Source organism: Homo sapiens, chromosome 2, assembly GCF_000001405.40.
Source record: "Homo sapiens chromosome 2, GRCh38.p14 Primary Assembly".
Lineage (NCBI taxonomy): Eukaryota > Metazoa > Chordata > Mammalia > Primates > Hominidae > Homo > Homo sapiens.
Window position 1 is genome coordinate 152,913,582 of NC_000002.12, and position 16,864 is coordinate 152,930,445.

Here is a 16,864-nt window from a genome sequence, read left to right on the forward strand (position 1 = left end):
TTCAAAATATTTTTAAATTTGTCTTGATATTTCTTTTTTCATACATTTGTGATTTAGAAGTGCATTGCTTAATCTCTAAGCATTTTAGGATTTTCCAGCCATCTTTCTGTTATTAATTTCTAGTTTAATTCCATTGTAGTCTAAGAGCAGAAATTCTATAATTTCTTCTCTTTAAGCTTGTTAGGATGTGTTTTATGACTTAGAATGTTATCTGTATTGGTGAATGTTCCAAATGAGTTTGAGAAGAGTGTGAATTCTGCTGTTATTAGGTGTAATCTATAGATGTCCATTATATACAGTTAATTGATAGTGTTGTTGAATTCAACTGTGTCCTTACTGATATTCTGCCTACTGGATCGATCCATTTCTAATAGAGGAATATTGAAGTCTCCAACTATAATAGTGGATTACTCTATTTCTCCTTAAAGTTCTAACCATTTTTGTCTCATGTATTTGGATGCTTTTTTGTTAGGCAAATACATGATAATGATTACTACATCTTCTTGGAAAATTGACCCCTTTATTATTATGTAATGTATCTCTTGATTCCTGATAATTTATTTGCTTTGAAGTCTTCTCTGTCTCAAATTAATATAGCAATCCCAGTTTATTTTGATTTTTGTTCACATGATATATCGCACTCTGTTTATTTACCTTTGATGTATATGTGTCTTTATAGTAAATTTCTTGTAGACAACATATAATTGGGCCTCACTTTTTGATCACTCTGACAATCTTTGTGTCAAACTTTTGGCCTCAAATGATCCTCTTGCCTCAGCCTCCCAATGTGCTATAATTACAGGTCACTGTGCCCAGATATTTGTCTTTGAATTGATGCATTTAGACCATTCATATTCAAAGTGATTACTGATATAATTGGATTAATATCTACCATTTTTTTTTTACTGTTTTCTATCTGTTGCCCTTGTTCTTGGCCCTATTTTTGTCCTCTACTCTTTTTCTGCCTTTTATGGTTTTAATTGAGCATTTAATATACTTTTCTCTCCTTTGTTAGCATATCAATTATATTTCTTGTTTTATTTTCTTTATGGGTTGCCCTAGAGTTTGCAATATACCTTTACAACTAATTTAAGCTAACTTTTAAATAACTCTATACAACTTCACAGGTAGTGAAAGTGCTTTGTAATAACAAGATAATCCTAATTCCTTCTTCCTGTCCCTTGCATTATTGCTGTCACTCATTTTACTTATACATGTAGATTTGAATAAGTTGTTGATACTATTTTGAACAAAATGTTATCTGTCAGATCAATTGAGAATAAGAAATATAAAAGTTTCTATTTTACCTTTACTTTTCCTTCTCTGATGCTCTTCCCTTCTTTTCATAGACCTGAATTTCTGACCAACATTATTTTACTTTTCTCTAAATAACTTCTCTTAACATTTCTCACAAGGCATGTCCACAGGCAATAAAGTCCGTCAATATTTGTTTGCCTGAAAAAGACTATTTCTTCTTTATTTTTGAAGGATAATTTTTCGGGCACAGAATTCAAAGTTGTTGTTAGTTTTTTTTCTCAACATTTAAGTCACTTAAATATTTCACTCCACTCTCTTCTTGCTTGCATGGTTTCTGAGGAGAAGTTGGATGTAATTCTTACCTTTGCCCTTCTATAGATGAGGTATTTTTTTCCTCTCTAGCTTCCTTCATGATTTTTTTTCCCTTATTTTGATTTTTTGTATTTTGAAAATGTTATGCCTAGGTGTAGTTTTTCTGGCTTGTAGCCTGCTTGGTGTTCTCTGAACTTCCTGAATCTGTGTTTTGGTATCTCATATTAATTTGGGTAAATTCTCAGTCATAATTGCTTCAAATGTTACCTCTATTCCTTTCTCTCTTTCTGTCATTCCCATTACATGTTACATCTTTTTTAGCTGTCCCACAGTTCATATATATATATATATACACACACACACACACACAGACACACACACATACATTTTTTAAGTCTGTTTTTTCTCTTTGTTTTTTTTTGTTTTTTTTTTTTTTTTTTTTTTTTTTTTAGTTTTGGAGGTTTCTACTGAGATATTCACAAGCTTGGAGATTCTTTCCTCAGCTGTGTCCAGCCTACTGAAAGCCCCTCAAAGGCATTTTTCATTCTGTTGCAGTGCTTTTGATCTCTACCATTTTTTTTTGTTTCCTTTTTAGAATTTTTGTCTCTCTCCTTACATTGTCCATCAGTTCTCACATGCTGTGTACTCTATCCATTAGAGCCCTTAGCATATTAATCATGGTTGTTTTAAATTACTGGTCTGATAAATCCAACATCCATACCATGTCAGGTCTGGTTCTGATGCTTGCTCTGTCTCTTCGAAGTGTGTGTGTTTTTTATTTTAGTATGTATTGTAATTTTTTCTTAATAGCTAGACATGATTTATTGGGTAAAAGGAAGTGTAAATAAGCCTTTAGTAAGATGATTATAAGGTGTAGAGGAGGGAAAGAATTCTATAGTCCTATGATTAGGTCTTTATTAATTCTGTACATCTGGACTGTGAACTTCACACACGGTTCTCAGTATTTCCCCTTCTTCCCCACTTAGGTGGGACAGGATCGAGTGGACTGGTGTTGAGTATTCCCTTCCTCTATGTGGAGGGCGAGAGTCAGCTAGTCTACCTTATTTTCTTTTCCCCAGCTCAGTTAGGCTCAGATAAAATCCCAGCAAGTTAGGCTTTGGTTAAAAATTTCTCCTGAGGGGCAGACCTTGTAAAGAACAGAATGCTCTGAGGTATTCAAAATGGTTCTTTTCCTCTCCCCCTGCTAGAGGAATGAGGGAATTTTAATCTGATATTCACTGGGAGGACCTGGTAGAACTCCTTGAGGTAAATCTCAGAGTAGTATGGGGTTCCCACTATGACTAGGTCACCCCTTCCTCCCCTACTCCAGAGTTTTTAACTCTCAGTTTGTCTACTCCAAGTCTCCAGCAATATACCAATTATAGTTAAGGCTTTCCTAGCCCTGCACTGGTTCCTGCCAAGCTCTGGTATGGTAAGTTGTGATTCTCTGTATCCACCTGTCTGTCTCTTCAATTTTGAGGGCGCTGGTTTGCCCTGTGACCTCACTTCTCTGATGCATCTAAGAAGAATTGTTCATTTTTCAGTTCAGCTTTTTGATTCTTGTGAGGATGAAGTGGTGACTTCTAAGCTCCTTACATGCTAGGCTGGCGCTCTTTTATTTCTTATTGTTTATTTTTAAAGGCATATGTAATCCCCAGTTTCTATTCCTTCTGAGCTCCTAATTATTGCCGTGGAACAATTGTTGAGGAATTGTGAATGACTTTGCTATGGTCTGAAATTCACATGCTGGAACTTAATTCCCAATGTGATCTATTAAGAAGCGGGGCCTTTGGGAAGTGATTAAGTCACGGAGGCAGAGCCCTCACGAATGGGATTAATGCTCTTATAAAAAGGGTTGAGGGAACTTGCTGGCCTTTGGTGCCATGTGAGGACACCGTGTTCCTCCTTTTTGCCATGTGACTGTGCAGCAACAAGGTGCCATTTTGGAAGCAGAGACTGGACTCTTACCAGACACCAAATATGCTGGCTCTTTGATCTTGGACCTTCCAGCCCCTATTACTGTAAGCAATAAATTTCTATTACTTATGAGTTACCCTGTATTGGGTATTTTTTTGTTATAGCAGCCTGAATGGACTGAGACAGAAATTGATACATAGAAGTGGGGTGCTGATGTCACAAATACCAGGAAGGGCTTTTCTAATGAGAGCTCAGAAGAAGAGGAGAGCTATAGAGAAAGCTTCTGTCTCCCTAGAGATTACCAAAGTGTTTGTGACCAGAATGTTGGTAGAAATATGAATATTAATGGCCATTCTGATGAGGTTTCAGATGGAAGAGAGGAATATGTAATTAGATAACGGAGGAAAGGCCATTCTTGTCATAAAGTGGCAAAGAACTGGGCTGAAATTGTGTTCATTTCCTAGTGCTTTGTAAAAAGTAGAATTTGCAAGTGATGCAATAGGATATTTGGTCAAATAAATTTCTAAGCAAAGTGTTGGTGGTGTGGCATGGCTTCTCTTGGCTGCTTAAAGTGCAAGAAGAGACATGTAAATTAATTTAATTTATAAAAATTAATATAATAATTTAATTAACAAATATGATCAAAAGGGAAGCAGAGTTTAAAGATTTGGAAAATTTTCAGCCTACCCATGTTGTAAAGATAAAAAAAGCATGTATGGGAGAAAGCAATAAGGGTTTGGCCAAGCAAACATTTGATAAGATTAGTATGGATATAAGGAAGACAGATGCTATTAATCAAGACAATGGAAGAATGACCCCAAAGGCATTTTGGAGAATGTTGGGGCTACATTCCCATCATAGGTCCAGAGTTCCAGGGCCTTGAGGGCAGAATAGTTTCAAAGCAGATGCCCAGGGGACATCATGACTCACTGTCCAGTGCCATCTCAAGTCTCTGCTCTCTATCCAGATGCAGTGCTCTTTGGCTGCCCCACATGTGGCTCCAGTGGGCCCAGATGCAATGCGGGCTTTAGTAGTCTTCCTTCTGGAGGCCACAAGTGGTAAACCACAGCAGCATTCACATGGTGGTGCATTGTCTGCAGGTGCACAGAATGTAAGGTCTGTGGGTGGATGTAGACCTCCACCTAAATGTCAAAGGATACCATAGAGAGCCCCAGAGCCCAGACAGAGAGCTGAAACATGGGTGAGGGCACCAAGAGATCTCTCACCTGGGCAATGCCTAGTGGAGCCATGGGGTTGAGGCCACAGCAGTGAGTCCCAATTAGGGCAATGCTCAATGGAGTTGTCAGGGGAAGGTTGCTTCTGAGACTCCAGCCTGGTAGGGCCATTAGCGTGCAACTTCAGCCTGGGAGAGCTGCAGGTATTTGACTCCAGTGCATGAGAGCTGAAGCATGGGCTGTGCCCAGCAAAGCCATGGGGGCAGGGCTGTTTGAGTCCTTGGGGGCCCAATCTCCCTCCTCACTGTTTCTGGAAAATAGGACATAAAGTCAAGGAAGGTTATTCTTAAACCTTAGGATTTAATGTTTGCCTTTTTGGGCTTTGGATTTACTTGGGACCAGTTACACCTTTCTTTCTATTTCTCACTTTTGGAATGGAAATATCTATGCTATCCCTGCCCATCATTGTATTTTGGAAGCACATAATTTGTTTGATTTCACAAGTTCACAGGTGGAGAGAAGTTTGCCTACAGATAAATTGTACCTTGAGCGTCACCCATATCCGATTTAGATGATATTTAGATGAGATGCTGGACTTCAGATTTTAAGTTGTGACACTTGGAGCTATTCAGATGGAATAAATATATTTTGCATGTGAAAAGAACTTGCAATTTGGGGGACCAGGGCAGAATGCTATAGTCTGAATGTTTGTTTCCCCCCACCCCAAATTTATATGTTTGAAATTAATCCCCAACATGATGTATTAAGAGGTGGGGCCTTTGAAAGGTGATTAGGTCATGAGGGTGGAGCCCCCATGAATGACATTAGTGCCCTTATTAAAGGATTTGAGAAGCTTGCTTCCCCCTTCTGCCCCTTCTGCCATGTGAGGACACAGCTACAAGGTGTCATCCAGGAAGCAGAGACTGGGTGCCCTGCAGAATTGTGAGCCAAAAATTTCTGTTGTTTCTAAATTACCCAGCCTAAGGTGTTTTTTTTCTTCCACATCAACAAAGCAAAGGCAAATAGTCTAAGGTATTTTTGTTATAGCAGCCCAAATGAATGGAGACAAAGTTTATACATATATCTTATAACACATTGCTTTTCACTAAGTTTATTTCCATATTTTCACAATGTTAAGCTTAACCTATAAAATTTTAGATGATTTGGACTTCATTTATTTTAGTATCTGCCCATGATAAAGACAGCAGATGGCTGACAAACTTCAAATCTGACCTTTTAAAGCCAAAATCAGAAAATGAACTGATCAGAATGTTTTGCACTGCTACTTTTATTTTCCGAAGTCTGAAACTCACATTTCTTCTTAATGTCTTTTTCAGAAACTAAAAAAAAAAATTAACTTTTTCTTTAAATTTGAAAAGTAGTTGGATTGCCTATAATAAAATCAATCCTTTGACAAAGCACGTTCCTTTTCTCCTTACAACAGGGTAACCTTTTAAAGAAATGAGTGTGTAGGAGCTAGAGGTGGTCAGTTCCTATAAGCACATTATAGTTCCTGTCTTAGCTTGGACTAGAAAGTTGAGCATAAAATTCTCACAAACGTTCTTTAGGAAAAGGGCTTTACAATAACTGCTTTATAGCCATATCCTCATGGAATACTGAGGCATTTCTGTTTTCCTGGGTTCTGTGATCACATATCCAAGCTTTCCAGAACAATTCTGTTTTTGTATAGTTTTGTTCTTTCTCAAAGCAGTGCATTAAGGGTTAACAAAAGTGGTCTAAAACTATACCTTTGCATATTGTAAATAAAAATGAATTCAAACATCAGGATAACATATACTGATATTTGGTTTTTCCTTTAGAAAGTAAAAGTGGTAAAGTATTTTACTGTGCAATATGAGGAATATTGTGTTTCTTGTATTCCCTCCCCTCCCCTCCCCTCCCTTCCGCTCCCTCTCTTCCTTTCTTCCTCTCTCTCTCTTTCTCCTTCTTGCTTTTGTTATTCCTATCAATACCTATTTATTAAATACATATGCCAGGTGCCTACAAAATGTGGGTCTTGTTTGTTTATTTTTCAAATTCACTTTCGTTGTATATTAAGGAAATATGGGGGAGGATTAAGAAGCAGAAGCAGTGAAGCACAAAGCAGGCAATAAATTCAGGTGAGGAGACCATGTCTGGTTGATTCTCTCCAAGCCTTTCTAAGGAGTGAACTATGAACTCTAACTCCAGCACACATTTCCACCCCATACAGATCTTTCTGGTGCTCCTTGGGAGGGCTTTGAATCTCTGGTCATTGGAGTGTCTCAGTTAATCTCTACCAAGTTAAGGATCTGGATTCTGCAACTTTCCCTATCAAATTATCTGATCTAGCTCTGGTTTGGGTTCCTGTTCTTGAATTTTTCTTTTCATAGACTCTCGGTTTCTAATTGCAATAATAAATGGTATTTCTCTGCCCCCAGACATCTGCTGTATGAGTCTTGCTTGTAAAGTCTCCCAGGTGAATTCTGACAATAAATGACTCGGTAGCATTACATTTCTCCAGAACGCTTTCAGGTTGAGAAGGAGAGCTCTGGGAAGCTGTTTCTGGTTTGCTTCAGCTGGCTTTGCTTGGATAGAAAAGAAAGTAAGTGGGTCTCTAATTTCTGCTCCTTATCTGCCACTTTTTCTCAAAAGGACAATGTGCCTTTTAGGTGAGGGCTTCTCTAATTTGTGTTTTGGAGACTTTAATATGCTCAGAGCAGGAGTGGTACCTCTGTCTTCTGCACAGTGTCTGGCTGCCAAGGTGATGCTGAAGCTCCTTTCACCACTGCTCCTTATTTAGTGCTGTGCTGCTAGCTTTTCCACTCATCCCATATGACTCATGGGTGAGCCATAGCACCATGCCTTCCACGGTGTACCAGCCTTTGCTTTGATTCATTCTGTGCAGGTTACATAGGGTGTTCTAAGCTCTCCTTGTCCTTTGAGTCTGAGCCTTATTTTTCCTTGCCTGATGAACATTTGGACTATAACACTCACGCTGAGGAAATTGGCCACATTAAGCTAAGTTACTGTCTTTGTTTGTTTGGGCTGCTAGAACAAAATGTCATAGACTGGGTGGCTTATAAACAACAGAAATTGGAAGTCCAAGATCAGAGTGCTGGCAAGACTTGCTGTCTGGTGGGGGCCTACTTCCTGGTTTACAGACAGCTGTCTTTTCCCTGCAACCTCACATGGTAGAAGGGGCAAGGGATCTCTCTCGAGCCTCTTTTATAGGATACTAATCCCATTCATGAGGGCACCACTGTCATGATCTGATCACCTCCCAAAGCCCCCACCTCCTAATACCATCACACTGGCGATTAGATTTCAACATAATTTTGAGGGGACACAAACATCATATCGTAGCAGTTGGAGAAGGAGAGTAAGATATAGAGATACAGAAATAAAGCTGATAATCTGGACTGGGGCTGTGGACCTAAATAGAAGAAAAATGTACTCGACTAAAATTAACAAAAACAGCAAAATAATAATAATAATAACAACAAAAAAAAAGCCTTATCACGGCAAAATGCAATCTGGCATTTCTTATGATCAATCAAGGATGCCTCATATAGTTAAGGTAAGAATACTTTAGAAAGCAGTCAGAAGCATTCGTGTTTTATGATGAGACAAGGGAAGAAACCTGAGACGGCCTTCTGTCAAAATATTACAACTCCAAAGACATCTTTCACGTACAGATGGGAGTCCTTTTGCTATCAGTCAGTGCTTAGCAGAGTTCCTGGCTAGGTCCAAGCTGCGGTTCATGTGTCTGGGAATGTTTAGTCACCTGGTAAGAGAATGGAGGGTGGGTGTGCTTGAATGAACTGACTTCAAGGGTTTTGCTCCATGAAGAAAGGAGAAAATTTTCCTTAAGGGATTAGGGTAGGAGTGGAGGACAGTATAGTATTTGCCTCAGCTGTGTCCTCATACTGGTTTGAAGGACTTGAGTTTGAACCCTGTGGAGAGATGGGCTATAGGCAGAAGCGGAAATATTATTTTCCAGAGAGACTTGAGAGTCAAGGGGCACTTCCATCACTGCATCAGAGGGGAGAGGAGTGTGCACTGAGACTCCAGGGACATCCTGGATGCTTGCTACAGATTTGGAAATCCAAGAGGCAGTTTCTTTAACCCTGCCATTTGTAATATAACAGCCAGTATCGACAGGCCGCTGAGATCTGGGAAGCTTCCCTTAAACTGTATGCCATTATTGGTGCGTAGAGAGATGCTGCGGGTAGAAGTCATGGTGTGCAAAAGAAGCACAGGCCACTCAGCGACTTCGCCATGAAAACAGAAACATCCCAGAAATTCATAGAAATCTTAGAACAGGTATTGGGATTTTTACAATTTGAGGCATGGAGCTTAGAGTCTATTTTATTTAGATCTAAAGATGGTGCTTGGGTTCCTTCCTTCCTCCTTCCCTCCATGTGTCGCTCCTTTCCTCCATCTCTCCTCTAATTCCATCCTCCCTCCATCCCTTTCTTCTTTCCATGATATTAAAAATAAAGTAGACTACAGTTATTTTTTTCTTTACCTCATCTTCAATTTATTTTTTGCTACATTTTTTGTGTTATTGAATGGGCCTTAGGGATTGACTAGACAGTGCCTGAGAACTCTGTCGGCTACATCCTTAAATCAGCCATCCAAGAACTAGGCATATATTGAATTTTTTTGCTTATATTTACCTTCCCTTCCCCTTCCCCTTCCCCTCCCTGCCCCTGCCCCTTCTCTTCTTCTTTCCCTTCCCCTTCCTTTCCCCTTCCCTTCCCCTTCCCTTTGTTTCCCTTCCCTTCCTTCCTTCTGTCCATCTTTCCATCTTTTCTTTTCTCTCTCCTTCCTTCCTTCCTTCGTTCCCTCTCTCCCTTCCTCCCTCCCTCCCTTTCTCTCTCCCTTCCCTTCCCTTCCCTTCCTTTCCCTTCCCCTTCCTTTCCCCTTCCCTTCCTTTCCTTCCTTCTGTCCATCTTTTCTTTTCTCTCCTTCCTTCCTTCTTTCCTTCCTTCCTTCCCTGCCTCACTTTCTCTCTCCCTTCCCTTCCCTTCCCTTCCCTTCCCTTCCCTTCCCTTCCCTTCCCTTCCCTTCCCATTCCATTCCTTTCCATTCCTCTCTTTCCTTCCTCTCTACAGGGTCTTTTTCTGTCACCCAGGCTGGAGTGCCGTGGTGTGATCATGGCTCGCTGCAGCATCTGCCTCTTGGGCTCAAGCGATCCTCCCACCTCAGCCTCCGGAGTAGCTGGAATTCCAGGTGCATGCCATCATACCTGGCAATTTTTTTTTTTTTTTTTTTTTTTTTTTTTTAGTGGAGATAGGGTCTCAGTATGTTGCTCAGGCTGGTCTCGAACTCTTGGGCTCAAGAAATACTCCCTCCTCAACCTCCCAAAGTGCTGGGATTACAGGCATGAGCCACCGTGCCTGGCCCATTCCCTGGGTTTTCTTTGTGCAGCTACCCTGTCATCACTCTAAGTCCAAGTCATGGGGGTGAGGCTGACCCTGACCTTGGCTCCCAGGATTCTCATATGGCACAGGATTTGGCCATGAGAAACTTATTGCTTTGTACTTTTGATGAAGGTGAGAAATAGGTATGCTCTCTTCTGCTGGGACTCCTAACTGGGCAGAATGGAGCTGGAGCTGCTAGTAGCTAATTTTGCCACCACACTGGAAGAAACTGCCTGAAAAGGAAGCCAAGCAGAGGAGAGCAGACCTGAGAGGTGAAGAGCCAGATTCCTGACTACAGTGTTGGACTTTTGGACCCAGCTGTGCCAGATGCGCTTCAGATTTGTAAGTCCACATGGACCTTTTCTTCATAACGAGTTTGAACTAAGTTTCTGCTGCTTGCAGTTCCCTGCCAAACATAGCACCTAAGTCACAGCTCCTGGTGGTGTATTGGGAAGATGATTAGTTGAAGAGCTAATGCCAAGGGATTAATGTCTATAAAATGGGCATCCTAAAATAAACCTAAGAACTAAGGCGGTCTGGCCTTATTACATTTGGGGTTGATGCCAGGAAATACCAGGGTGCCTCTGGTCATTAACATCCCTCCCCTCATGCATCAAGTCCTCTCTCTCTCTCTGTCCCTCTCTTTTAAGTTTACATATTGGTTCAGGACAGAAATTGGGGGGTTTAACACTTTGAACTTGTGAGAGGGCCACTTCAAGATGGTTTAGCACACCATGAGTGCCTGGTTGCTCATTGGCAGGTCCTGTGCTAATAAGCACACCTGCCTGAAGTGTGCTTACACCTTGGCTCAGCCAGATTGTCTTATTATTTAGATGATGGCTAAAAAGTAGGAGGGGGTGAAACGGTAGCTCCCATGATAGGAAAATGAAAGCCTTTCTATATTTTTCTGTCTCTTCCAAGACACCTATTTTTAGGAAGTATGAAATTGGCAGGTATGTGCTGTCTTCCATTCTTTATACCTGACGGCTTCAAGGATACAGGCCAAACTGCAAAGTGTTTAGAGAAGAAAAATGCAAATGTATGCCTTAAAAAATTAGTCAGATAGGGGAGAGATTTGGAGATTCAAATGTGTGACTCTTGCCTTGTTAAACGTAAATGTGAAACATGATTACTAGCTATAACCAATTGGAAAGGTGTGGCTTCCCAGAGGTTCAAGAAGCAACTCCTGGCCACAGTTGCAGGAAATGAGGTCGGAGTGTTGTGTAAGGAGGCTGGCTGGCACACCACCTGGCAACCACTGCCAAACATTAGAAATTGGCTCTTGAAACTAAACCTGTTTGAATCACTGGCCTGAGTCAGCCTTGTTCACTGCAGCCCTGTCAAGGGGGCCAATACTGGGGCTCAGATTTTCCATGTTTAGGATCATCCTCCTTGCGTTGTCATATTGTTCTCTTTCAGGTGCTAAAAGCATCTTTCAAGTTATCAACATGTTCTTCTTTTAGTGCTTCAGTTTGGGGAACAAGATTTTTAAAGGTAATGTTGCAGACCTGCAATCTGGTTCATTAACCTCTCTTGGAGACTGGGTGTGTCTCGCTGTGGCTCCTATGGCACACTTATGTTTAGCATGCCAAAATGTTAAAGAGGATAGATATATATACAGTATGTATATGTCTATGAGTGTGTGTGTGTATATATATATAAATATATATATAAATATATATAAATATATATATAAATATATATAAATATATATATAAATATATAAATATATATAAATATATATAAATATATATAAATATATATATAAAAATATATATATATAAATATATATATATAAATATATATATATAAATATATATATATATTTAGGTTCCCAGAATTGGATTATAGTTCTTTGTTTATGATACATTCTCGATATTAGTTCATGCATGGACCATTTTTATTTGTTTTCTTAGTGTGACTATTCATCAAATATTTCTGGCCCTTGGCCCTCTGGGCATGTGGCTCGACTGCATTTCCCTATACACTCTGAAATTTGGTATGGTCATGTGACTTGCTTGGGCTGACAAAATGTAAGCAGAAGTGATGTGTATCATTTCTGAGCAGAAGCACTGAAGCAAGTGCATGATCCGCCATACACCCTTCCCCCTGCTATGGTGATCATGGAAACATTTTCCAACCTGGGTCCTTGAGTGGCTATGATGAACAGAGTCCTCCGGCTGATCTGCACTGGACATGTAGTATGGTCAGAAAATGCACTTATGTTGTGTTTGAGATTTTGAATTGTTGGACGGCATCACCTCGCCTACCTGCTTGTGGCAGTTAATAAGCTATTGTTTCTCAGTGCCTAACCCACCCTTCCCTAATCCCGTGTGTCTGGAGCTGGGATTTTGCTCCTCACGTGCCTCCTTAGCCAGCTGCTCCTGTTATGTTTCGCCAGTAGGGGGCAGCACACACAGAGAGACCAGAAGGCAGGAATAGGGCAAAGGGAGGGGCTCTTGGCTTTTCCCTGTTCTGCTTGCTGTTCCTGTCAGCATTGCTTCATCCATGGCTTCTCACCCTGACAGTGTCAGTTGGTTCCAGTTTCCAGCTTCTTCTGGCACGTTCAGGACTAGTTTTATTGTTCCCTGCCAGAGGCACCAGCGCAAGATGGGCAGGCTGCCCCTCTCAGACTCCATGAGGTGCCTTGTCTGAGTTTCCAGTTTCTGATAATCCTGGCCTTTTTCATTTTTCTAGCCCTAAGAGTGGTAGCTGATTCTTGTTACCATATATATGCTACCTTCATGTTCCTTTTTTTGCTTTTGAATTCCTCAAAGACTTATTTAACCCATTCCGTATGTTATCTCTGTTAAAATAATTAGTATGGTTTCTGTATTCTTGCATAGATCCTAGCTGATACACAGATTGATATAATTATCTTTTATTTTTTAAACATTTTTAAAAAATTTTATTATTGATTTATTTTTATGCAATAGAGATAGAATCTCACTGTGTTGCCCAAGCTGGTCTCGAACTCCTGGGCTCAAGTGATCCTCCTCCCTTGGCCTCCCAATGTGCTGGGATTATGGCCATAAGCCACTGCACCTGGTCTGTATAATTATTTTTAATAATGTAAGAAGCACTCATGAATTTGCTAACCTAAAACCAGGTCTAAAGGCAGTTCCTTGTAAATGACCTTTATTTAACCGTATAGCCTTTACTCCCTATTCCATTTTCCAGCCTCTTCCCACAAATGCTAATTGGTGGCCTTGATCCTATGTTTATCACTCCCTATTTGTCCCTTTTATGTAGTTTTTATTATATTTATAGGCATGCCTAACCCTAAAAATTATATATTTTAATTATAGTTGTTTTAGTTTTATGAAAAGGATATATATGGTATGTAATATTTTTACTTTTTAACTTAATTGCTAGAATTTGTCTATTATATATTGTTGTTTATTGCTTTATTTGTTTTTGAATTGCTGTGTAATGTTCAATTGGGTTAATAGCCTAAAGTATATAATTTGAAGTAAATTAGGAAAAGCAAACTCTAGGCTTCATATGATTTCAGTAGCAAGTCATGGAAACCAAGTAAATTAGGGAAAGCAAATGCTGGGTTTTATGTGATTTGAATACCAAAAGTTGATACTGAAAAGCAGCCCTACTGGTCTTTCTGATGTAGTTGATGACCGTATACTCTGGACTCATAGATCAAGCAGCGAGTGAAGAAAGAGTACACATCTCACTAAACATTTACATTTGCTAATGGGGTTTTTGTCTTTATACAATTTAACTTTTTATTTAATTAAAAACTAATCCAAGTGTGGAAAGAGAGTCAACACAGAAGGAAGATTAGATGGACCAGATAATCAGATGCCTCACTTTTTAAAGTTGTCTCTATGAATCAATGTCATCCTTAAAAGAAAAGTCATTTTCACTGAAGCTTGACGGCACATCATTTTCTGTGGGTTAGATGGGTACAAGGAGTTCATAAACTATAAAGCACTGGAAGTTACTAATAATTACAATTAATGGTAGTTACTATTCATTACAATTAATAGTAATTACAAAAACAGTTAACAAAAGAACTGAAAGACAGTCTTTCTCAGAGCAATTCTAAAGCCTTGCCAGTTTGTCTGAAGGCACTTACGTGGCAGAGCTTCCTTGCCCAGTACCAGCCAGTGAATTCCAGTGTTCTGAGAGAGAACTTGCGAAGAGATACTGAGCAAATAGTGAATAATAAAAATAACAGAAGCTAACATTTATTGAGTACCTATTGGGAACCTGGACCTGCTAAATGATTTATATGCATCATTTCGTTTTATCCACATAACAGGGTAGGTACTATCATTGTCTCCATTTTTATAGATGAGGAAATCAAAATCAAGAGAGTGTAAGCCACTTGTTCAAAGTCATGCAGCTATTAAATGGTGAAGCTGGAGTGTAAACCTAGGTCTATTGATCTCTGGAGCCTGAGTTCCTAATCTCATAATTCTTAACAAACTTCGGCCAAACACAAGCTCTATATTTTTGTTGTATTTGATACATTTTTTTTTTATAGTCATGTCAACTTCAAATTGTCTTTCTCAAATACTAGAGAGGCAGGGAGTAGAGCTTATATAGGCTGGACCACAAAATGCAAAGCTGTCTGAATTTTAACCTTATTTCTATATTCAATCACTTATTCATTCACACAATTATTCGTTCAACATTTAATGATGTGCCAGAAACTGTGCAGCTCCAAAAGAAAAATGATTTGTTCCTTCCAGGTGCCCTTAAGGATCAAAGTTAAGCCATACCTTTTCTTACTCTTAGGATACCTTTCCACGTTTGACTATGTCTTTACTTTTGATTTATTTTGGGTTAGTGGAGAGACACTGAATAGTTTTATGAAGGAAAATAGCACAATCAATGTTATATTTTTACTTTTTTAGAGGTTGCTTCTCTAGCAGCTGTCTAGAGGATGGGTAAAAGAATCATGAACTTAAGGCAAGGGACCCTTAAAGAGCCACTGAAATTGAAGGGGTCCAGTAAAAGATGATGAGGGCTCACATTAAGATGGAGCAGTGAGGACAGCTCAGAGATAGTCTTGTGCGTTGGTAGAGAGAAGGGAGTCAAGGATGACTCTCAGGCTCTTGACTTGGATAAGGAAACAATAGTGACAAAGAGTCAATTACTGAGATAGGGAATATACAGCAAAATAGACTATGGGGTAGAAAGAAGTTAATGAGCAGTTTGCAATGTGTTGAGTTTGAGATACCTAAGTCCATCTAGATATATGTGTTCATGAGACAACTGGTTATGTTATCTGATACATTTATATATTATACATAATATATATATGATGTATGATATATATAATTATACATGATATATTATGTATAATATATATTATAGATTACATATAAATTATATATATAATATATAATTATATAATATATAATATTATATAATATATTATATATATTATACAATTATATAATATATATAATATACAATTATATAATATATAATATACAATTATATAATATATAATACAATATAATATATATTTAATATATTATATAATACATATTTAATATATTATATATTATATGTTATATACTAAATATATAATATGTATTTAATATATACTATTATATATGTAATATATTATATAATTTATGTAACATATTATATATTATATATGCAATATATTACATGTTACATATATATTACATATAATATATGTAATATATAATATACACTATATTATTATAGTATATAATATACTATATTATGTAATTATATAATATAGTATATTATACACTATATTATATTATCATATAATTATATATTATATACTATATTACATATATATTATGTAATATAATATGCAATATGTTACATATATAATATATATGTATTATATAGTATATATACTATAGTATATATAAAATATATGCTATAATATATATTTTATATATTATATAATACATATAATGTATCATATATTATATATAATATATTTTATAATATATTACATATGTATCACACATATATCACATACATGTAATATATTACACATTACATATCACATACATGTAACATATTACATATCACACACTACATATATGTAACATATTACATATCGCATATCACACATATGTAACATATTACATATCACATATTACATATATGTAATATATCACATATCACATATTACATATATGTGACATATCACACATCACATATATGCAGCATATCACATGCATGCAACATATCACATATACGTAACATGTCACACATATATATGCAACATGTAACATATATGTTGCATGTCATATATTACCTATATGCAACACACCGCATATTGAATATATGTAACATCACATATTACATATATGTAATATATTACTACATTTATGTAGCATCACATAGTACATATATGTAACATATTACATATATGTAATATGTTACATATTACATATTACATGATATATATAGAACTTTAATGACTTTTGAAGAAGAAGTGATTGATAAGAGCATGTAAAATGAGAAGGCCAGGAGTCCAAGGAGGAAACATTGGGGAGAACCAAGATTTAAGAATGAATTACTGAGCAGTGGTTCAATAACTAATTCTTTAACTGGATTCAGCCTAAAGTTTATCTTGTCATCTGAATTCTTTCCTTGATGTATTATATATACAATTAAATGCTAGAAATTATATATATATAATATATAAATGAATGCTAGATATATAAATGAATGCTAGATATATAATATATATAAACAAATGCTAGAAATATATATGTAATTTCTAGCATTTATAATTGACTTTTTAACATACCAACCTGTTTTGTTTCAAATGTA